General features: G+C 36.6%; 1 protein-coding gene across 3 annotated transcripts in view, besides 1 other annotated feature; it reads left to right on the top strand.

Annotated features, from left to right (window-relative positions):
- The window catches only part of ANGPT1 (angiopoietin 1), a 248,437-nt gene that overhangs the window by 111,818 nt on the left and 111,252 nt on the right, over positions 1–25,367 (top strand). The gene's annotated exons all lie outside the window — the stretch shown is intronic.
- Positions 22,814–23,014: a silencer, noted in NCBI's record as "peak7143 fragment used in MPRA reporter construct". NCBI's record gives its function as "represses an SCP1 promoter by STARR-seq MPRAs in K562 erythroleukemia cells {active_cell/tissue: K562}" and the evidence as "EXISTENCE:reporter gene assay evidence [ECO:0000049][PMID:32103011]".

Here is a 25,367-nt window from a genome sequence, read left to right as displayed (position 1 = left end):
CATGTTGTTGCAGAGGCCAGGATCTGATTTTTTTTTAATATCTGTGTAGTATTCTATGGTGTATAAGTACCATATTTTCTTTATTCAGTCCACCGTTAAAGCTAATTCACCGGATCAAGTAGGCTTTATTCCTGGGACACAGGTTGGTTTAACATATGCAAATCAATAATTGTGATTCAGTACAGCAACAGAACTGAAAACAAAAACCTCATGATCATTTCAATAGATGCAGAAAAGGCTTTTGATACAATACAACATGGCTTCATGCTAAAAACCATCAACAAGCTAGGCATCGAAGGTACATACCTTAAAATATTAAAAGCCATCTATGACAAACCCACAGCAACATCGTACTGAACAGGCAAAAGCTGGAAGCATTCCCCATGAGAACTGAAATGAAACAAGGATGTTCACCTTCACCATCCCTATTCAGCATAGTACCAGAAGTCCTAGCCAGAGCAATCAGGCAAGGAAAAAAAATAAAAGGCATGCTAACAGGAAGAAAGGAAGTTAAACTATCTTTCTTTGCAGATGATATGATACTACACCTAGAAAACCCCATAATCTCTGCCCAAAGGATCTTAGATCTGATAAACAACTTCAGCAAAGTTTCAGGATACAAAATCAATGTACAAAAATCAATAGCATTTGTATATACCAATAACATCCAAGCTGAGAGCCAAATCAAGAATGCGGTCCTATTCACAGTAGCCACAAAATGAATTAAATACCTAGAATACAGCTAACCAGGAAGGTGAAAGATCTCTACAACAAGAATTACAAAACACTGCTGAAAGAAATCAGAGATGACACACACAAGTAGAAAAACATTCCATGTTCATGGATAAGAAATTTCAATACTGTTAAAATGGCCATACTACAAAAAGCAATTTACCGATGCAAGGCTATTCTTATCAAACTACCAAGGACATTTTTCATGGAACTGGAAAACAAACAAACAAACAAACGACATTCCAAAACTCAATTGGAACCAAGAAAGAGCTTGAATGGCCAAAGCTATCCTAAGCAAAATAACAAAGCTGGTGATTTCACACTACTGGACTTCAAACTATACTGCAAGGCTACAGTAACTAAAATAGCATGGTACTGTTACAAAAACAGACAGACCAATCAAACAGGTTAGAGAACCCAGAAATTAAGCCACACACCTACAACCATCTGATCTTTGACAAAACCAACAAAAACAAGCAAGGGGAAAATGACACCCCATTCAATAAATGTTGCTGAGGTAACTGGCTAGCCATATGTAGAAGATTGAAACTAGACCCCCACCTTTCACCTTATACAAAAATCAACTCAAGATTAAGGATTTAACTGTAAAACTTAAAACTAGAAAACCCTAGAAGAAAATCTAAGAAATACCACTCTGGACATTGGTCTGGGCAAAGACTTCATGAGGAAGACTCCAAAAGCATTTTTGCTGTTTGTTACCCTTTTTCCTCTTATAAGTCCCCAATAAAATACTACAAAACACTGAAACTTACGTTTACTAAAGAAAGATTGCTTGTCGCTACCAAAGGATGAAAAAAGTTACCTACAGAACAGTTCTATGCACTTACTGATCAAGAAATATCAGTGTTATAAGTAAAAACATAGAACTTCTCATATAGCAAAGTCTATTTTTTTTTTGTAATTAACACAGATAATACATATACATGTAATATCCTTCCTGATTATGAAGAACTTTTATATGCAATGTCTGTGTAGGTTCCTGAAAGTTAGATGTTATTTTTCCTTTTTAAAATAGAATATTATTGAGAATCAGAAAAGTGACTTAGAGGTTCTTAATCCTGTATGTATATTTAGAGTCACCTGAGTATCTTAACAAATCAACAAAACCATGCCAACCTTGGCATTTTTTAAGCACTCCCCAGACAACTCTAATGAGAGGTAAGTGAGAACCACTGAGTCAAACGAATCATTCAAGACTTGCAAGCTGAACCTTAAATCCTGGACCTTAGACTCCACAGGTTTTGGATGACCATGTCCACCTCTTCAAATACAAACCCTTTTGGGTGTCTTTTTAAGGGATTATTGACACCCTTAATTATGTTACCACATGTGCAATGGAAGATTGCTTATTTTTAAGAGTAAGTTTAGATGAATAATATCAGCTACAGGTGCCTAATGTGTCTCCTTCTGAAAATTTCATTAGATTACAGAAAGGTGAGGTACTATAGGGAGGTCTGTGGGAAATATAACAATCTCTGTGGGCTCCAAAATCTCTATCAGCTCCTGAAAAGCTTTCCAACTAAACAATAGAACAATATGCTTGCAGGGCTAATGTCCCTTGAGGAGAATTCTGGCCCTCCTTTCTGAAAGTTTGTAATCTTTCAACCTTTCATATATAAAATCTGGAGTTTCCCCTGATAGTCTAACAGTTTCTCCCAAAGTTTTGATGTTGGAATGTCTCTTCTAGGTACCTGTTCAGGCTGAAAAATTTTCAAGATTTCTATGGGTTTTTAAAAAGGTGTTGTGTGTCGGTAAGTGCCTGCCTCTAAAGTAATTCAGACCTAGACAGGCGGTATAATTAACACCTTCACACTCAACAACCACCAGGACTTGAAGTATGACTTGCTGCCACAAATGTTACTGCTGTGATAAACCTGGAATTCGGTGCAAGAAGAACAAGTCCTGTTGTGAGTAAGCTCAGTTACAGCTGTTCTCTGACACAGCTATGTTTGCTCAGTTTGTAAGGCTGGACTTTTGCTTTGGCTATGGCTTTGGCATTGAGGTTCTCCCCAGCAATTTCAGTTTCAGGTGTACATCCAGCCCTTTCTTGGAGCTCTGCTTTGAATCACTTTCTTTTTGGCTGAGACCCACACAACCATTGATTGAGATGAAGTCCAAAGGAGCCATTTCTCTGTGGTCACTAAAAATACAAGCTGCTTCATACTGATCTGAAGGAAGCCACATTAGAAAATCTTGGTGGTGCACTGTGGTCAGACAGAAAGGGATCTGGAGCTCAGTTCTGCTGAGCAGTAATTGGTTTCTGTACAGTGTAGACTTGATCCTGTAAGTTTCCAGATGACATGGACAGATGTGAGGAGGTAAGTACAATAAGGAGAAATAAAGATAGCATTTCAGCAAATACCAGTGCCTGCTTCAATGTATTAGCTTGGTTACATCTATTTTTAAGATATAACCAACCACTCATTGTCTGTTTTTCATTTATCGTTGTTCAGATTGAAATATACAGATGCACAGGCAAATTCATAAGTTGTATTTTAGTGTAGAAGAAAGGAGCTTGAACTAGGAATAATGCATCTATTCCCAACTTGGCCATTCCTGCTTGGCTTTCACAAATCATTCCACCTCATTTACTCCAAAACTTTCGGGGTTTGGGTAGAGAATTTCTAAGTTGTCTCCTAGTTCCAAGTATATTGATGGGAGACTGGCATAGGCTTACAAGAGCCAATTATGCACATTTTTTTTTCCCAGCTCTGTGTTTAGTGACATCAGTTGGTAGCTTGAAGTCTACTGTGTGGGAAGTATTTATGCCATGGAAAATGGGAAATGCTATAAATAGGGACTTTTTTTTTCTTTTTCAAAGACAAAATTTATCAGCACAGCACTGTTGGATATCTGCAATACCCTGGTGCTATGGAGCACATACATAGTAACTGGGAATTTGCTATAGTGCCCGACTTGTAGAAAAGCACAGCAGACCTCTCTGTGACAAATATGGGATTTACACACACTGCAGCTCGACTTGGATACTCTGCTATTGTATGTGATGTATCTAAAATATTCTGCATTTTTGTAATCTACTTTGTTGAAAGAAAAGAATAAAAATGTAATAGGGAAGGGGAAGTTTTATAAATGCTGTGTCAAAATTTCTTTTTAAATTTTTCTCATATTTCTCCAGATTTATGACCTATTAATATATTTCTTCCATTACTCTTTAATAATTAAGTTCTCTTATTCTATCTGAAATATTAAATTGGTGCAGAAGTAATTGTGGGTTTTGCCATTAAAAGTAGCAGGTGACCTATTGTTTGGGTTAATTCAGAATATAGAGGCAGGAAGAAATAACGGAGTCAATAATTTAGAGTAAAAATTCCTGATATAAATCAAGCCCATTCATCTTGCCAAGACTCCTGCATGTCTTTCCTCTATGTCTTACAAAATGTTCTTGACCACTCACATATAGAGGAAGAATAGGCAAAGAGCAGGAAAAAGCTATGGACCAGGCAAAGAAGCAGCATTTACTCTGATCAGCCAACAAACCTTAGCTAAGTTGAAAAATTAATACCCTGTAGGGCTTGCTTTTCTTTTGGAAAACTATGTTTCCATCTCCAATTCCTGTCATGCCCACTGTCCCAGTATACAGTTGTCATAACGATCCTTTCTGACATGGAAAATTGTTCCAGTTTGCTTTTGGAAATGTGATTCAATCTTGCTAGCAGGGATTCCCTTGAAAGATCCTTGACCCATTCTCAGGATGCTCTCAGTTTGCCAGAAACAAGCAACAGAGTGAATGGAGTTTCACAAAGATGGAATTCAGGAGTCTTCATGAGTATAATTCCTCTTCAGGGCTGCCCTCACACTGCTGCCAAGACCCAGCATGGTGCCTCCACGAGGGCACCTACTCTTCTCTTTCAAAGATATCCAATTACTCAGGCTCCAAGCTATGAAGCAGGGGTTCAGTGAGCATGAAGTGGTTCTTGGGACCCTCTGGAGAAGCAAACATTGACAGGTAATGTCATAGCTGCCTGTCACTATTCAATAGGGTTAATCTCTGGGCAAGTTCCCGGCACACACAGTGTTGCTTTTAAGTCCTGCTGATTTGGATTCAAGTTTTTCCCCTTTGAGCATTTTGCCTGAAATTTCTGTTTGACTTGGAACTCCACAACTACCAAATTAAGTGAAATGAGCATGATAAAAAAGTTCATTGAAATTTACCACAGCCATTTGAAGAAACTTCCAATAAAACCAGAAAGAGAGCCAATGGCCATCCACCCAGCAACATAAAACAAAGAGCTGCCCACTAGGAGATGGAGTTAAAACACTAAAGAAATCAGTAACAGGAAGAATTGAACTTTTCTACAGTCTCCACTTATCTAAACTTCAGGCCTTCCCAAGAATTAGCAAAATCCATCTGGAGTACCCAACAAGCTTCTCAACAGAGATGACCTTGCTTTTACTTTGCAAATGCAAAGCATTAAGCAAGCACACACAGGCAAACAAAACCCCTATAAACAAACACAGGTAAGAGAGTGGTGGGGTCCTTTAAGGTTCTCTGTCCTACACAGCCATCACTAAAGTAAGACGTTGTCTTTTGTTCTCTGTGGCTCTGCCCTACTTGAGTAGCAAAGATACATGGATAAGTGGGGATGATATGCAGTAGAAAAGATTTTCCCCTCAGAAAGCAATAGGTCCATTTTTTGGAGACACATTTCCAGTTTTGATAAAATGAGAAAGTATTGGCATGCTATTGGTTGAAACAATAATATTCTTAATAAAGAAAACTACAGTTCATAGATGGTGAACTCACACTGGCTATATCACCTATAAAAACTAACCAATTGCTTTAAGAAATAAATTTTTTTTAAAGTGTAAGGTCAGGGAAAAAAAAATCCAAACAGTCAAAATGGCATCTAGCTTCTAATGTGTATGCATAGTATATGTATTTTGTCACTATATATACATATATATACGTATATATAGTCAGATGTGTTTTTGTGCAGGACACACACACACACACACACACACACACAAACATCCTGCACATGATAAACGCTCAATAAACATTCGATGTCAAATAACTAGTTGATTGATTATATCATGTAGCCTTTAACTGCTGCCTTGTGAATAGAATCAAAGACTGAATAGTCCATTACCACACAGGTAATGGCACATGTGTGTAATAAACTTTAGATATTGGCATTCCTTCTCTATTCTACTTAATTTATTGTGTTAACATTTTCCTAGTAATTTTTCCTCTATTTGTATTTTTATTCTTCCTTAAACCACATTTCCAGACCAGGCTATCCCGGGGCTGTAGTATCTGATGATGAAGCAGATTTGTTAAATTTTTGCAAACAATATTCATAGTTATAACATGTGTGCGCGCTTTCTTAGATTTTTGTGTGGAAGTTCTTTCATCATTTTTTACCAGTATCCCTTTGGGATATCTCAAGACCCCAACATCTGGTTAGTGGTTTCTTGGAAAGGCATACTTTTTCAATACATAATGTTCTTTTTCTTAAAATAACAATAACAATCTAATTTGCACGCTTTTAGTAGCTTAAAAAGTTGAATAAATTCACTTTTTCTTAATAACTGTCATCTTCCCTCTTGCCATACTTCAGTGCACCTGCTCTGAAATACCATAAAGCTATAGGTTAAAAATATGTACACAAATAATTTGGGAAGTAAATATGCAAAATAAGGCAATAATTGGATAACACAATAAAAACTAAAGCCATGATCCCGTTTGTGTGGGAGAGGTAGAATGGGTACAGGTTTAGTGTCAATATCTTTACTTTAAACCACAATCATTTTCTGTTTGATGTCTTTTTTTTTTAACCTCCTCTGAGACTCAGTTTCTTCATCTATAAAATTGGCGGACTGCTACATCAGGCTTTTCATAAATATCATTTATTTACTTAAACAAACAGTGCTGTAATGCTTGCTCTATCTCAGGCAGTGTTCTAACCACTTTCAAAATTGTAATTTATTTAATTGTCAAGGCAGCCTTATGGAGTAAGTACTTCCAGTTCCACTAAGGAAACAAGACACTTAGACGTGATGACTTTCTCCTAGAAGGCCTTCAGCTAGTGGCCTACCAAGGGAGGGAGCAATTGAGGTGGTCTACTCTAGGTGCAGGTGATGAATGTCTGCCTTTTAAGGAGATAATTTAAAGACAGTAACAAAACCAACTAATAGTTGGTCTGCATTTATTATCAGGCCCTGACAATTCTAAGCAGTTTTCATGAAAAAATATATCTCCCCTCAGGGTGGATGACTCCCATCCCTCATCCCTAAATATCCATTGCTCTGAATATTTTTAACATTGTTTATATATAAAATAATAGAAACAGAGTTTGTAAAACTTTTGAAAATTTAGAAAAATATGAATAGACTGTAGGACTAAAAATAGTCTTGAAGCAGTTATATATAATAGAGTATATATATATATATGTATGTGTATATATATATATATTTGTTCATTTTCACACTGTTACAAAGATACTACCTAAGACTGAGTAATTTATAAACAAAAGAGGTTTAATTGACTCACATTTCCACATGGCTGGGGAGGCCTCGGGAAACTTACAATCATGGTGGAAGGTGAAGGGGAAGCCAATGCACCTTCTTCACAAGGCCACAGTTAGGAGAAGTGCCAAGGGAAGGGGGAAGAGCCCGTTATAAAACCATCAGATCTCGCAAGAACTCACTATCATGAGAACAGCATGGGGGAAACCACCCCATGATCCAATCACCTCCCAACAGGTCCCAACCCCCAAACATGGGGATTACAGTTCAGATTACAATTTGAGATGAGATTTCAGTGGGGACATAGAGCCAAGCCGTAACAGTGTACATAGAGTATAGTTAGGTATATATGGTGTGTGTATAAACATAAACATATACACACATTATACATATATACAACTGTATTTAGGTACATAATACCTTCTTTCTCTTAGGATAATTAACATATCAGTGGCATCTGCATTTTGCCTTTATACTATACACAGATGCTCACTGGAGATTTGAGAGTTGGTAATATTTCTAAATGCACCTTTCTCACTACTTGCTTCTTTTTTGAAAAATGTGAATAGACATTTTCAGAGGCAGTTGCAGATTAAAATATATGGTTCCTAAAGTAACAATAATCATAATGACAACAACAAAGTATAAAAGAGCACTCCCTTCACCATTTTTAAACCAAAAAATTCAAGTGTGTCTAAACCCTATGAAGGCTGATTTAATTGAGTAGTGAATCTATCTGAATTCTGCTTCAAATGCTGTATGGAAAAGTCATATTTTACAGTGCATATTATACAGATTGGCTATTTCAATTAGAAGTACAGTGGGTGATTTTTCAACTATTCGCTTGGCTCTGCTGCTAAGTCATTTGGATATCTTAAGCTGCAGTGTATGCCAGTGCAATGGAGTCAATTTTGACAACTGATATGTTTTTTTTTCATGACAATATTGAAGTTTATTTTGGGTGGTAAATTTAACCAAGATATTAGAGGAGATTTACAAATATTAATCTTTGGGCCATCTTTTCTTCTATTCAATGCACTCATCTGTTTTTACGTTCTTGACAAGATTGTGTAATTGAAAGCTTTGGACTTTGAGCCAGGGATTTTCAGGTTCAAATTTTATCTACACTGCTTACTTGTGATGTAACATTGGCTTTAACCTCCTTTTCTGGAAATAGGTGAGACAACGCTTACATCACAAGGTAGGCTCTGAAGCTTAAATGGATTAACTCTACATCAAGTGTAGTTTCTTCCCTTGTATCTTCCTCTCTTCTTCCACTTCTCCAAACATCAAAATACTTTAAAATAGTCCCAAAGAGTAGCAATCTGTACATTTCTCCTTCAGTGAGATTACTATCTTTAGAAAGTCCCTAGGTAAGGTTTGGTGATGGATTAAATGTCAGTATGAACAGGTGAATGAGGTCTGGCTTGCCCAGCACACATGGCAGATTTATCCAGACAGGATTATGACTTGGAGTGTGTACGTTTCCTGCTATGCATATGCCAATGTCACGAGGCATCTGGGGAGGAAATTCGGCCTGTTCATTGTTGAACAAAGCACCAAAAAATGTCCAGTATGTTTATTATATAGTTATTTTAGAATAAAGGAAAAGCAAAACTATATTTCAACATTAAAAAATGTTGATGTATACTTAGAATTTTTTGTGTGTGCCAAAAGAAATAGAACGTTCCCTTGCAAAAGTGTGTATTGAAGTGAAATGAAACAAATGGCCCTTTATTTATTTATGTAAGGCTAGACATTGGGTATATTGCATCATTTAAGCTTCATCCTTACACTTCATTACCTACTAAAAATGGGCCCTGCTTGTAAGTATTTGTGTAATCAGTGATGAGCTGTGATTTGAGATGGAATGGTGCAGACCAAGCATTAGAAGAAAAAAAAATGTACTTGATCTTTTGGGACACTAAGAGAATATTTGCTTCAAAATTGGAAATTTCCTAAACTCTAAGTTCAAAAATCATAGAAATACTCTGTTTCCCAGACACACTGAACCACAAATTACATGTTGATAGCTTAGAAATAATGTTTCCAATAATAATAATAGATATGTAAAAATTTTGGAATTTAGTGAGAACCGAAAGTCAGACTTGAAGGCCTATATCCTCAGATTTTCTTATTTTTCAGTGGGATAAAATTCAAATTGCCTTTAGCCAACATTAAATAGCTGCCACAGTTTGGCTAGGCCTTACCGTATCTCTCACCACTTTCCAAAGCTCTGCTATGGCTGGAGTAGAATATGCACTGCTCCCTCCTCCTGAACCAACCAACCAAACAAACAGAAAACCCACAAAAAAACAAAAACAAACAAACAAGTGTGCATTTTCTGTCTTCTATCCCTTTGTAAGATCTGTTCTTTCTAATAGCAATTCCTTTCTTCCTCCTCCCTGAACACTAATCAGGTTTGAGTTTAATTTTTACCTTTCCCATAAACAATTTCCCCTCCCCTCTAAATTGCAGCAATCTCTCCTGGAAAAGAACTCAGGGTTCCCCATACTTCCATATTGAAATTATTTCTTAAAATTTTGCTGCACGTTACCACATACATGGATCCTATCATTTCAACCACATGGCGAGCAACTTGTGGCAAGAGTTATGAATTTAAAATTTTGCAATGTTCTCAACTTGATTACATGTGGAAACATAGGCACAGAATGTTAGGCATGGAACAAGAGGGACATTATAATGCTGTGCTCTACTTCTTAAGGTTAAATGTCATGACATGATAGTTTAGAGAAGTTACATACTCATGAAGTGCTTCCTAAAGAAGGGAAATGTTTGGAAAAAAGGAATAGGGATAAAAATCTGTAAGAACAGAAATAGTACCTGAATAAAGAAAGCAAGAGGTCTCTTCCCATAGGCCCTTTCCTGGTTCAATCTCAAGAATAGTAAAATATACAAATCCAATTGGGTCATATTCTAGAACAATGATTGACCATATAGCCTGGAAGACAGGGGCAAGCTGCTTTAAAACTGCACACTCAGGAACACGGCCCTTTCTCTGGGCCTCCCCTGTGCTCTTATCAGGGCAGCTTCTCAGTGTTTCTCATGCTTCCTATTTCCATGTGGCCTGAGCAGTGAGGTCCAAGTCTTGTTGCTGGTACTTTCCTCTCTGCTTCATTCCATTCTTTCCTTGAGGTGCCCAATCCCACCCTTACCCTTGGTGGCAGTCCTAAACCAATATGGAGCCTGGCTAACGTCCCTCGTCCACTCTTCTTGCCTTCACTCATGTGTGCTCAATACACATATCAGGTCTGTCTCCTGTGGTTGGGAGGAGGATGGTAAAATACTAATATTTGAATGTTAGTTTCAGTGGAGGATTGGCTGGCCTTCTTACACTTCAGCACTAGGCTTTATACTTCAGCAAAATTTGAGAGCTCTGTATTGAAATTTGGTACAAAATCCCAATTAATAATAATGTAGAATTTAGCTTTCTTTTGACCATTGTCCCCTGGCTTAATATTTCCACAGGGTACCTCAAGGGAACAAGGCCATTGCTGGACAAAAGAAGGATTTAAGCATTTCTTTTTTAAAAAAATACTAACTGCCATATTTGTTAAGGGTTTTCAACAACCTTATTTCTATAACTGGCAATTTCTGTTCTTATTTATGCTAAATTTTATCATAAATAATTAGATTTATCCTGATAGTTTTTTTCGTTTGTTTGTTTGTTTGTTTGTTTGAGATGGAGTCTCACTCTGTCACCAGGCTGGAGTGCAGTGGCATGATCTCGGCTCACTGCAAGCTCCGCCTCCTGGGTTCAAGCGAATCTCCTGCCTCAGCTTCCTGAGTAGCTGGGACTGTAGGCGCGTGCCACCACGCCCAGCTGATTTTTGTATTTTTAGTAGAGACAGGGTTTCACCATGTTGGCCAGGCTGGTCTGAATCTCCTGACCTCGTGATCCGCCCTCCTCGGCCTCCCAAAGTGCTGAGATTACAGGCGTGAGCCACCGCGCCTGGCCAGATTTAAGCATTTCTTATCTCCCTAGCTAAATACCATCTGATACCATCCAGATTTCCACCAGAATTTTTATCAGTGAAGAGTAGGTTTCTCCATTCCCTTCTGGGGACTGAGGGTGGGATCAGGTCAGTCTGGGAAATGCAAGTCAATTCTTTGGCCAATAGCCATGTGCTCCCTTTTTGTCAGATAGATTGTTCTAAGAGAGACAGACTGCTTTTAGACCATTAGACAGAAGGCAATTTGCGACCAGACAGAAATAGTCCAGAAGTGTCCACCAGTAGCCCATATAATGCTTTTGAGAGAATTAGAAAACCGCCCAGTCCTACAACAGGCATTGGAGTTTAGTGAGCTCAAAGTGAATTGGATTTCGTCCCCCACTTACACCCTTGGCTGGCTGCCTTGGGCAGGACAGAATCTGCAAGACTCTGTGATGACCTCCTGCCAGAATATACAGTGCATGTGAACATGTTAGTTTAATTTGTTTTTCTTCTTTTAAGGTATATTTCCTCATGAGAACTGCCATTGTGTAAAATACAATTAAATGTAAATATTATACTTTCTAATCTTATAATAATTTCCTGATAAAGATATCTGATAAACTAGTCTATAGCATTATATTACAGTCTATTGCAGTTGGCTCTTCTGGTCTCCTGTTTTCTTACGACTGCTATATTTGATCATACTTTTAAGATGGAAATAACCTGGGCTTTATCCATTCAATAAAAAAAGGTTGGCAAGCCCTTTTTATGAGTAAATGGAAAGGGTTTTGCAAGGCAGCATATATAAAAAAGAAACATTAATCCTAACCCTTCACTCTCTTAAATGGGAATTAAGGTCAATATTCTTAGAGCAGCAAATTGAAGTGGTGCTAAGTTCAGAAATTCTTTGGAAAGGGAACCAAACAGCTGACTTTCACTGGAGAAAGAAGCATTTCACGAGTTGAGTGCTAGCATAGGCAGTATCTTTCCAAGACTCTTCTTCTTAACTAAGTCATTTCTTCTAAGAGAATAATGAGAGGTCATTTAAAAAGATCATTATGTTCATCTACTTAATTCTCTGTTTTTAATAAGTCTTTCTACTTCATTATAAGACACAATAAGTCAGATTTTTCCTGAAAGCCCAGGTTGTACCTGAAGGGAAAGTGAGGCACTTAGAAAAATATGGTAAATCTTTCAGTTCATCAGACTTGCTAAGGCATTAAAGAATATATTCAAGAGAGCCCCTAGAAAGAAAAACTTCCATCATCGTAGAACTTATCTCACTTCTTTCTTCAGGCTCAAGTGGTAAATAGTATCTTTTTGGAGAGGAAATGTCTCTGTGAATGATCCCTCATGGACTACATCATTTCACTCCTTCAATCCACCTCTCATTCCTTCTTCCAACATGACAGATATACTCAAACCCAACAGCACTGCATTTGCTATCCAGTTTCCAGAGTGGTCAATTGTATCATTTTCATGTTTCAGCATATTTTAAAATTCAACCTCTGAATCTTAAATAAGATGCTGTGACTTAGAAACCCATTGGTAAAAAGACAGTGTTCCTTCAAAATTTGTATGTTTTCTTCAGATCTCCTCCAAATACACTCTCTAATTCAAAAAAAAAAAAATCTATTTTGTACTTGACTAAAAATAGTGTTGAAGTTAATGACCACTTAAGAGAGTAGGTAATTGAGATACTGAAAAGTTAGGAAATGGAGAAGGATTTACACTTTGTCAAAGAGGTCATTTTTAGCACCTTATCACAGCAACAGCATAAACTCCTTGTAAATTTAGTTCTGACAGCATTGGGATTATCACTTTTCTGTCTGAGATAAACTTGCATGTAGTCACCATTTGTATAAATGTCTCAAATGTTTTAGCATGACAATAAGGTAAATCACATTTTAATTGCAGGTAATAGTTTTCAAAGTACTTCACAATAATTTCGTGTTGTTAGCCCCATGTTAAAGAGGAGGAGACTGAGGCAGAGAAATTGAGCCTTACCTTTAGGTCATGTGAATACCTGGCGTAGACTCTAGTCACGCTCACGTCTTCTGCTTGGTGGCTTTAGGTACATATAACGTATATAACACAAAAATCCAGAGGAAAATGTAATGTCGGTGAGCTACTAACCAAGAGGAAAGTATCTTTTGTTGTTTCCTCCTCACTGGAGAACAGATGGTCATAGACCTGCATTCTAATCGTTACTGTGTCACTGCATTTCTGTGAGACTTTCTTTCTCTGGGCCATGGTCTTTAAGGAGCAGACATTTCGAGAAACAGCAGCCGTGATCATTTCAGCTCTAACATTGTGTTTCTGTTTCTGTTTTGAAAATATGGCCAAATCTTAGTTATCTGATAAGTTAAATAATAGAGTTAAACATGAAACTAATAGTTTCAATCTCTGCCTTTTATTAGAATACAGGATAAGAATTAGACAAATGCATTTGGTTCTATTACATGGATTGTAATTTTAGAGGCACCAGGAGAATGGTCATCTCCTAAATAACCCCACATTTCCCGACATTTTTTTCTTATATCCCTTTATTAAATACACACACATACTTGCTCAAAATGGTAGCAATTATTTATATCAGTAGTTCTCAGCTGGGCATGATTTTGCCACCAATGGACATTTGGCAATATTTGAAGACAGTTTTACTTGTTACAGCTGGGAGGCACTACTGGTATCTAGTAAACTGAGGCTCTGCTACATATAACACATGGATTTCCTCACACAAACATGCACACACAATGAAACATCACCTTGCCCTAAGTGTCAATAGTTTTGAAGTTGAAAATTTCTATTTAAATCTATAAATAACTGAACAACACTCCTAATATCATACAACACATTTTTTTTTCTAGTAATTTCACTTTTGGTCCATATGACATAGGTATGATACATATATTTTCAATGATAAAATCATCACCTCAGCTTATAAGGCTCCCTGAGATCCAAAAGGTCAGAATTTAATTGAGCAAACAGCATCTTTTAGAAAATTAAAACAGCCAGAAGAGCAATAAGTTGGAAACCATTCATTCATGCCTTTATGTGAATTAAGGTAATGAGAAGTTATTGTGGGGAAAGGCAGTCCTGGGTAAATGCCATAGAAGAGGGGTTTAGGCAGGTGGAAGACAGCATAAGAATGCCCGGCACCACAGGCCTGCTGGTGGGTGCCTGTAAACCCAGCTACTAGGGAGGTTGAGGCTGGAGAATCACTTGAACCTGGGAGGTGGAGGTTGCAGTGAGCCAAGATTGTGCCACTGTACTCCAGCCTGGGCAACAGGACTAGACTCTGTCCAAAAAAAAAAAAAAAAAAAAAAGAATGCTCAGCACCAAGAGAGAGGGGATTGAAGAAGGATTATGGTGCCCAATTTTGCCAACTTTCAAATTTAGTCTAACTAGCCTCCACCACAAACCACAAAGAGTAGCAGAACACATATGTAAGCTTCAGTGTTCTTCTTTTTTCTGGTTCAACTTCCAATGAGATGTGATTTTCAAAATAGCTGAGGACTGGGGAGAACAAGAGTGAAAAGAGATGCTGACAAATTCACAGATTGACTGACAAATTATTTTATTGGCTGCTTGGGATTAGTAGTCTCAATGATTTAGAAATTGCATCAGTAGACTCTAGTCCACACTGTGTAGTTTGATTTGAAAGCCTAAAAGTAAACACTTTGATCCTACTACACTGATTATTTAGTTTATTTCTCTTTTTCCTTTTCCTTTTCCAGCCTTAAAGTTACCATGTAACACATACATAAAAACCCTATTGAGATGGCATCTCGCCAGGTTCAAGCTGTAACTGTTTGCATCGATTATCTGTTGGTTGCCTAACAAATTATACCAAAATTTAGTACAGGCCTACCTTGTTTTATTTCACTTCACTTTATAGCATTTTACAGATATTGCTTTTTTTTTTTTTAAACAAATCAAAGGTTTGTGGCAACCCTGTGTCGAGCAAGTCTATTGACACCATTTTTTCAATGCCATATGCTCACTTTGTGTCTCTGTGTCACATTTTGGTAATTCTCATTATATTTAGAACTTTCCCATTATCATTTTATCTGTTATGGTTATTTGTGATTAGTGATTATTTTCCTCTTTTTTTTCTTTTCATTGTCCTTCCTTCCCTCCTTCCTTCCTTCTTTTCTTCCTTCCTTTCTTCTTCCTCTTTTTTTTTTTTTTTTTTTTTTGACAGAGTCTTGCTCTGTCACCCAGGCTGGAGTGCAGTGGCGTGATCTCAGCTCACTGCAACCTCTACCTCCTGGGTTCAAGTGATTCCCTTGCCTCAGCCTCCTGAGTAGCTGGGATCACAGGCACACGCCCACCATGCCCGGCTAATTTTTTTATTTTTAGTAGAGACCATGTTGGGCAGGCTGGTTTCACCATGTTGGTCAGGATGGTCTTGAACTCCTGACCTCATGATCTGCACACCTTGGCCTCCCAAGGTGTTAGGATTATAGGCCTGAGCCACTGACCCTGACTCTTTCTTTCTTTCTTTCTTTCTTTCTTTCTTTCTTTCTTTCTTTCTTTCTTTCTTTCTTTCTTTCTTTTTCTTTCTTTCCTTTCTCTTTCCTTCCTTCCTTCTTTCTTTCTTCTTTCCTTTTCTTTCTTTCTTCTTTCCTTCTCTTTCTTTTTCTCTCTCTCTCTTTCTTCCTTCTTCCTTCCTTTCTCCTTTCTTTCTTTCTTTCTTTCTTTTTTTCTTTCTTTCTTTCTTCTTTCTCTCTTTCTTTCTTTCTCTTTCTCTCTCTCTCTTTTTGACAGGGTCTTGCTCTGTTGCCCAGGCTGGAACACAATAGCATGATCATGGCTCTCTGAGCCTTGACTTTCCCATGGCTCAATCAATCTTCCCACCTCAGCCTCCTGAGTGGCTGGGACTGCAGATGCGTGCCACCACACCCAGCAAATTTTATGTTTTTGTGGAGACAGAGTCTCTCTATATTGCCCAGGCTGATCTTCAACTCCTGGGCTCAAGCAAACCTCCCACCTTGGTCTCCCAAGTAGCTGGGAGGCTGCTGCACTTGGCACATCAGTGATCTTTGAGATCATTGAGATTGCTATTGTAACCGTTTTGGAGTGCCATGAACCACACTCAAATGAGTAGGAGAACTTCATCGATAAGTGGTATGTGTGTTCTGACTTCTCCACTCATGGGCCATTTCCTCATCTCTCTCCCTCTCAATGGGCCTCCCTATTCTCAAAGACACAAAAATATTGAAATTAGGTCAATGAATAACCCTACAGTGGCCTCTGAGTGTTCAAGTAAAAGGAAGAATTGTACATCTCTAGCATTAAAGCAAAATCTAGAAATAATTAAGCATAGTGAAGAAGGCATGTCAGAAACCAAGACAGGCTGAGAGCTAGGCTTCTTGCAACAAGCAGTTAGCCAAGTTCTGAATGCAAAAGAAAAGTTCTTGAAGGAAATTAAAATACTATTCCAGTGAATACACAAATGTTAAGAAAACAAAATAGGCTTATTACTAATATGAAGAAAGTTTTAGTAGTTTGGATAGACTATCAAACCAGCCACGACATTACCTTAAGCCAAAACCTAGTCCAGAGCAAGGCGTAACTCTCTTCAATTCTATGAAGGCTGAGAGAGGTGAGAGAGCTGCAGAAGAAAAGTTTGCATCTAGCAGAGGTTGTGGCTCATGAGGTTTAAGGAAAGAAGCCATTTTCATAACATAAAAGGGCAAGGTGAGGCAGCAAGTGCCGATGTAGAAACTGCATCAAGTTATCCAGAAGATCTAGATAAAATCACTGATGATAGTGGCTATACTAAGCAACAGATTTTTAATGTAGGTGAAACAACTTTATATTGAGGAAGATGCTTTCTAGGACTTGTGTAACTAGACAGCAAAAGTCAATGCCTGGCTTCAAAGCTTCAAAAGACAGGTTGACTCTCTTGTAAGGGGGATAACGCAGCTGGTAACTTTAAGTTGAAGACAATACTTATTTACTAACTCAAAAATCCTAGGGTCCTTAAGAATTATTCTTAAGAAATAAGTATAAGGAATATACTTATAAATAAGTATAAGGAATATACTTATAAATAAGTATAAGGAATATACTTATAAATAAGTATAAGGAATATACTTATAAATAAGTATAAGGAATATACTTATAAATAAGTATAAGGAATATACTTATAAATAAGTATAAGGAATATACTTATAAATAAGTATAAGGAATATACTTATAAATAAGTATAAGGAATATACTTATAAATAAGTATAAGGAATATACTTATAAATAAGTATAAGGAATATACTTATAAATAAGTATAAGGAATATACTTATAAATAAGTATAAGGAATATACTTATAAATAAGTATAAGGAATATACTTATAAATAAGTATAAGGAATATACTTATAAATAAGTATAAGGAATATACTTATAAATAAGTATAAGGAATATACTTATAAATAAGTATAAGGAATACTCATTTACTAACTCAAAAATCCTAGGGTCCTTAAGAATTATTCTACATCTACTCTGCCTGTGCTCTAGAAATGGAACCAAACAGCGTGAATGACAGCACATCTGTTTACAGCATGGCATGATGAATATTTTAAGCCCACTTTTGAGACTTACTGCTCAAACAAAAAGATTATTTTTAAAGTATTACTGTTCATTGACAATGCACCTGGTGACCCAGGAGCTCTGATGGAGATGCACAAGAATATTAATATTGTTTTTATACCTGCTAACACAATATCCATCCTGTAACCCATGGATGAAGGAGTAATTTTGACTTACTGGTCTTATTAAAGAAATACATTTTAGAAGGCTAAAGCTGCCATAGACAATGATTCCTCAGATGGATCTGGGCAAAGTAAATTGAAAACCTTCTGGAAAGGATTCACTATTCTAGAAGCCAGTAAGAACATTAGTGATTCATGGGAGAAGGTCAAAATATCCAAATTAACACAAGTTTGGAAGAAGTTGATGCCAACCCTCATGGATGATTTTAAGGGGTTCAAGACTTCAGTTGAGGAAGCAACTGCAGATGTGGTGGAAATAGCAAGAGAATTAGAATTAGAAGTGGAGCTTGAAGTTGTGACTGAACTGCTGCAATCTCCTGATAAACCTTAAATAGATGAGGAGTTGCTTCTTATGGAAAGTGGTTTCTTTACATGGAATCTACTCTTGGTCAACAACCATGAACATTGTTGAAATGACAACAGAGGATTTAGAATATTACATAAACTTCTTTAACAAAGTATTGACAGGGTTTCAGAGGATTGAGTCCCATTTTGAAAAAGTTCTACTGTGGTTACAATACTACCAAACAGTATAACTTTCCCCAGAGTGAGTGATCAAAGAGAGACAGAGAGAGACAGAGAGCATGCTTTAGATAAATCTTTAGTGAAAGGAACAGTCAATTGATATGGATAACTTCACTGTTTTATTTTTAAAAATTGTCACAGCCACTCCAACCTTTAGCAATCATCACCCCACCCTGATCAGTCAGCAGTCATCAACATCAAGACAAAACCCTCCACCAGCAAAAAGATTAGGATTCACTGAAGTCTCAGTTGATCTTCACCATTTTTTAACCATAAAGCATTTTTAAATTAAATATGTACCTTGTTTTTTAGGCATAATGCTATTTCACACTTAATAGACCACAGTATAGTGTAAACCCAACTTTTTTATGCACTGAGAAACCAAAAAGATTGTATGAGTTGCTTTATTGCACTATTTGCTTTATTGTGGTGGTCTGGAACCAAACCCATAATGTCTCCAAAGTATTCATGTAGCTTAAAATAGCAAATATTTATCATCTCATATAGTTTGTGAGATTTCGGGATCTGGGGATGGCTTAGCCTGGGTGATTCTGGTTCAGGGACTGCAATCTCTGAAGACCTGACTGGGGCTGCAGGGTCTATTCCCCCGTTGTTGTTGGAAGGCCTCAGTTTCTCACCATGTGGGTCTCTCCACCATAAGGTTTCTTACAGTATGACTTTCCCCAGAATGAGTGATCAGAGAGACAGAGCCCGAGAGACAGAGCCAGAGAGACAGAATGCAAATAGAACCTGTAGTGCCATTTACAATGCAATATTTGAAGTGGCATAGCATCTATTCTGCCATATTCTATTGATCACACAGATCAACTCTGATATAATGCAGGAGGGGACTATGCCAGGGTATAACTACCATGAGGTAGGGATCGCTGGACCATCTTAGAAGCTGATCACCATATTGATGTTGTCTTTAGATTCAATAATCAGTTTGAGTTCATCCAATTGAAGTGTTTATAAGTAACAATACGCAGTTAAGTTTCACAACTGTTAACTTAAAAATAATGACAACAAGCTTTCTGGATAAAAAACAGTGAGCCCATGTTCTAAGGACAACTGTGTTGAGTTTATTGTACATATATACAATGATCTTAAAAAAACACAGCAAACGTATTTCAGGTTTTGCCAGTTATATTTTTTTAATTGTACAGAGATACTTTTGTGCTAATTTAACCAGAATTCTGTTTAGTCTGCCCTGAAGTAGCAACTTTTGGCTTTTTGGTGGTGTAATATGATAAGAATTAGAAAGTATTTGAATGAGTAGGAATTAGAAAAGACTGACTTCTAATCTCTGCTCTCCCATTTCCTGTCTGCACAAGCAGAGCTAAATTCTAATCTCAGATGCTTTGTCCATGAAGTAGATTTAGTAAAACTCATCTCTGATGGTTGGTTTGAGGACTAAATGCTATGATGTGAGCAAACTATTTAGCACATTACTGGGCATATAGTGATAACATAATAAATAATATTTTGAGCATCAATTTCCAATTCAGTGTTTTGTAACTGAACATTATGACCACAGTAAGTTGAGAAAATTAAAAATGGATTGAGTCAAGCCTTTTTGTACAAATGAAATAAAATTAAACATTGTAAAAATATCAGAGGGTCAGAGACCTGGGTTCTAGTGTTTACTGTGTAATTGGATTTAGTATTTTTTAATGAAACTTTTATTTCTATTTGTGTATACAGGCAAAATCGTGTGTGTGTGTGTGTGTGTGTGTGTGTGTGTGTTGTATTTGTTTCTTGTCCTAATTAAAACTGCACTTCTTACTGTGGGTCACAGTCAAGAAAATGAGAAAACCACTACTTTAACCTGACTTAGTTATGTTTATGTTTTTTTCCTGAGAAGAACCAATCTTATTCTCTTCTAGTGATTGCATCTATCTGAATGTTTTGGAAGGCAGAGTATTTTAATGTCTCTTTGTTGGAGAGCCTCTTCCTGTTTACAATCCCATTGAAAGACGAAATCCCAATGCTCATGGAATCATGACCTTTCCATGTTAGACCAGTAGACATGCCCCAGATGAGGATACAGCTTATTGCTTCATGCCCAATACCATGGTGGTTGCAGATGCATTAATGGTGAGAGTCACAGGAAACTCAGAAATCTCAGTGGACTTACTCATTGGGAATTATTTTATATAGCAAGCAAGCATCCACAAGGACGTTTTTAGTTATAAGATTAAATAAAGAAGTGCTAAGCCCCTGAGGTTTATGAAATTCTAAACATCAATCTGTCTTAATAAGGCACTACTTCTCATGGGGGAGAGCACCATTTGAGGCTGCCCATTGTCAAGTATGCTGAGTTTCCGGTAGTGAACCATATGAATAAATGTGCTTTGTATTTATTCTAATGTCATATTTGCCTTGTCTTACCATTGCATTGATAGTATCATCAGTAACTTGAAATGCTTCAGCTTATCAGTCTATTTATCAATTTATCAGGAAGTTTTAATAAAAACCTTAAATGCTTGCAATATTGTTACTTTCTGGGCCCTTGTGTACTACATAAGGTGATGAATATTTTTATAATATGAATAATTCTATGCTTCATTCCTTGAAGTCAGATGTTCAGGTAGTTGTGTTAACTATAATGTTTAGAATGTCTTTTTTTTTCCCCCTTCTGCAATCTTCCTCCAATCCTTGCTCCCTACACCTCTTACCTGCACAGTTCTTTTCTGAAAGACATCTAGGAACTGCGTTCACTGCAGTCTCTCACTTTATTAATTGCTGGCCTAGCACTTTGTGGTCTATTCATCATTGAAATCATAATTACAGGTTTTTCTGGATTAAAATTGCTCAAGGAGAAAATTCCCTTTGAAGTTTTGAAACAACTAGCACGTGTTATACAAGATGTTTCTTTATATGCAAATGTCAGATACTTACACTTTGGTGTAGTTAGATTGGGAGAAGCAGTTTGAAAATCCATTAGAAGAATGGATTCTCTGGTGTGAGTGCATTTACAGTTATCAATGAGAAGACAATCAACAGCTAATATTAACCATCGGGCTGGGCACAGTGGCTCACGCCTGTAATCTCAGCACTTTGGGAGGCCAAGGCAGGTGGCTGGCTTGAGGTCTGGAGTTTGAGACCAGCCTGACCAACATGGCAAAACCCTGGTTCTACTGAAAATATAAAAATTAGCTGGGCATCGTGGCGCACACCTGTAATCCCAGCTACTAGGGAGGCTGAGGCAGGAGACTTGCTTGAACCTGGGAGATGGAGGTTACAGTCAGTCGAGATTTCACCACTGCACTTCAGCCTGGGTGACAGAGTGAGGCGCTGTCTCAAAAAATCGTAGTAATAATAATATTAACCATTGTATTATTTCATAAACCTCAGGGATTTAGCATTTCTTTATTTAATCATATAACTAAAAACATCCTTGTGGATGCTTGCTTGCTATATAAAAAATTCCAAAAGAGTAAGTCCACTGGTGGCCTTAAGGCTGGAAAAATTAGTAAATATATATAGTAAATGGCTTTCTGACATTACATTAAAATGCAATAGGATATTATTACCTATAGACTTTATGGCCAGCCTGTAGTATATAGATGTACTGAAATAGTGTTAAAAGGAAAGATACTTAGATTTGCGTAACTGTAGTATTAGTCAGTCAGCAAGTGTCAGTCAGGGGACTATATTTTTATAGCTACAGTTAATGAAATAGTTTCATTCTTGACAAAACTGCTTTGATGTAGATATTATTATATTTACAGATGAGGAAGTTGAGGCTTAGAGTAGTTAAGTGGCTTGTTCATAGTCACAGTGTTAATAAGTATTAGGAAGCTAGGCCTCTGTAACAAATTTCTATTATTATTATTTTTTTTACTGTCCAATGCCATCTGTCACATCCATGCCCACTGAGGCAGTTTAATCCCATTCTTCCCATTTGAAGCTTGTTATTTTATTTTTCAATTTAGGTATATTTATGATTTTTCTTATTTAATCCTCAAACAATACTATGATACAGATGCATTATTCTTCGCTTTTTCTAGATGCAGAAGCTAAAGCACAGAGAGGGAAAGCAACTTGCTCAAAGTCACACAGCTAGCCAGTTGCCAGCTTAGAGCTAACAGAGTCCAAAACTTATTATTCTTTCTCAAACACTGCTTCTCATGTGCTGCTTCTCACGTAAATATAAATCAGAACTTGGAAAAAGCAATAATATGGTGGCTAGTATTAGCTGTTCATTGTCTTCTTATTGATAACTGTATATGCAGTTACACCAGAGAATTCACACTTCTAATAGATTCTCAAACTGCTTCTTCCAACCTACCCACATCGAAGTATAAGTATCTGACATTTACATGGCACCTTACATCTGACCAAGCATTTTGACATGTATTATTTCATTTGATCATTACAAGAAACTTTTGAGATGTTTAGGACAGGTACAATTAGCCTGATGGCTTTACTGATGAGAAATATTTATCTCACAGAAGTAAAAGACCTTGGAGTTCATATGGCTGACAAGTGGGAGAAAAAAAAAAAAAAAAAGCACTCAGGTTCCCTGCTGACACATTCTGGGAGCTCTCCATAGCACCATGTTAAAAATAGCTCTTCATGCCGCAACATTCTACCTGCCTGTGGGAATTCACCAAGACATTTCCCCCAGTTTGGAAGAAGTCATGTAGATTGCAAAGATTCTCTATTTTTGATATGAGAAATTCTTACAACTGGGAAGATAGGCATGGTGTGGATTAGCCCAATCCTAGACAAGCTGGGTAAGCCTCATGTAACTGTATGTCTTCTGGGAAATTACTTATAATCTCTGACTCTTCCTTTTTTACAGAAAAAAAATGGTGAGAATTATGAAAAAGCAAATGTATAATTTCTTTTCTATAATGGTGGTTTTCCAGTAAACTCATTAGACTTTTTAATATAACACATCTCATATTAAACACATCTCTGTGACATGAGAACCCTTGGCTTTAAGAAGTCAAGAATGCAAAAGGCCTCAATGAGATCCTAGAATCTATCAGGTTTGGGCTTCATGGTTTCCTGGAGATAATGATGATGATACAATTTTAATATTAAAGCTATGAATTATGAGAACAGCCAGCCCTGGGTGGGAATGCACATCAGGACAGAAAAAAAGGCTGATGAAGTATGTATTTCTCCAAGACATGTTTGTACTAAGTAATTCTGAATTTACTAAGAAGTCCTTGAAACTGTATTTCTTCTCTATGAGAATATGGAATAAAAGTGTCATGTATTTTATAAACTTTGAGTATATTTTTTACAATCTTGTAGAGAATATTTCCACTTTAACAGCTACTAATTATAATGATATCTGTTTATATACTTGTTTTTCTCACTTGCCAGGGACTAAGCAAGAACTGCATCTTTTTCATATTTATGTATTCATGGCACGTTGCCTGTTAGCATAGGACACATATAAAACTTACTGAGTAAATGCTCATTGAAATGTGTTTATATAAGAAAGTATGTGAAAATGTATAATACATATGCACATCTACATATGTGTATGTATCTGTGTGTCTTTGCTAATATTTATTTATTTATTTTGAGACGGAATCTCGCTCTTGACATCCAGGCCAGAGTGCAGTGGCGCGATCTCAGCTCATTGATCTGCCTCCAGAGTTCAAGTGATTCTCCTGCCTCAGCCTTCTGAGTAGCTGTGATTACAGGCGTCTGCCACCACACCTGGCTAAGTTTTGTATTTTTAGTAGAGACAGGGTTTCACCATGTTGGCCAGGCTGGTCTTGAACTCCTGACCTCAGGTGATCTGCCTGTCTTGGCCTTCCAAAATGCTGGGATTACAGGTATGAGCCACTGCGCCAGCCTGTCTTTGCTGACATTTAAACTACCATTCCGTGTTCTTATACATACTTAATAAGATATGGCATTTTCAAGGGGAAACATGAACTGTCTATTACCCCATCCCATATATATATTCTATATTGATATATAATATATACATATATTCTATATTGATATATAATATATACATATATTCTATATTGATATATAATATATACATATATTCTATATTGATATATAATATATACATATATTCTATATTGATATATAATATATACATATATTCTATAGATATAGATATAGATACACAGATACATATGTATGTATATATTCTATATTTATAGATAGATCTATATATATTCTATATATATTCCAATTTAAGATTCTATACAAATATATATATATCTGCAAATTTTCTTTAAGCATAACTTTGCTTTCAACAACCAAAACATTTTTGAGATAAAATTATTCCAGCTCAGGAGGTTCAATTTACAGTACAACATGTTTTAGTTTAGTAAAGAAGAAAACACTATTTCCCAAAGAAAAATGGCTTGTTTGAATATTGATTGGATTTTGTTAGTAAACTTTAAAAAAAATCATAATATTAGAGCTCATTCTATGAGAATATGCTCTAATATTATGTGCATATAATAATGTTAGAATCCATATTTGCTTGATATTTGTGCTTATTTGAAGGAATTATGGTGTAATGAACAGGAGAACAAACATGATACTAATCCATATGCACGTGAAGATGATGTCTCTGTTTTGGTTGAGTAAATGAAAGAAAATGCTAATGCTTTTCAGCAAAGATAATTAATGTGGCCATAAATAGCATGTCACTATGGACCTGAGGAAAGAATAAGTCAACTTGTCATATAAAATTATTATGTTTCTTATTTATGCTGGGCTTACAAAGTCCTCAAATGTCTTGCCACATGTTGATTCAATCATTCTTTCAGTATTTCTAAGCGTGAGAGTGGTGAGGGGGACTTTTCATTGTATTTTTAAAAGGACAACAAGTATATGAAGACTTTTTTACTGCCTGACGGTGATCATCAAATGTT

This window comes from Homo sapiens, chromosome 8, assembly GCF_000001405.40.
Source record: "Homo sapiens chromosome 8, GRCh38.p14 Primary Assembly".
Taxonomy (NCBI): Eukaryota; Metazoa; Chordata; class Mammalia; order Primates; family Hominidae; genus Homo; species Homo sapiens.
This window is presented reverse-complemented; position numbering and strand designations above follow the sequence as displayed.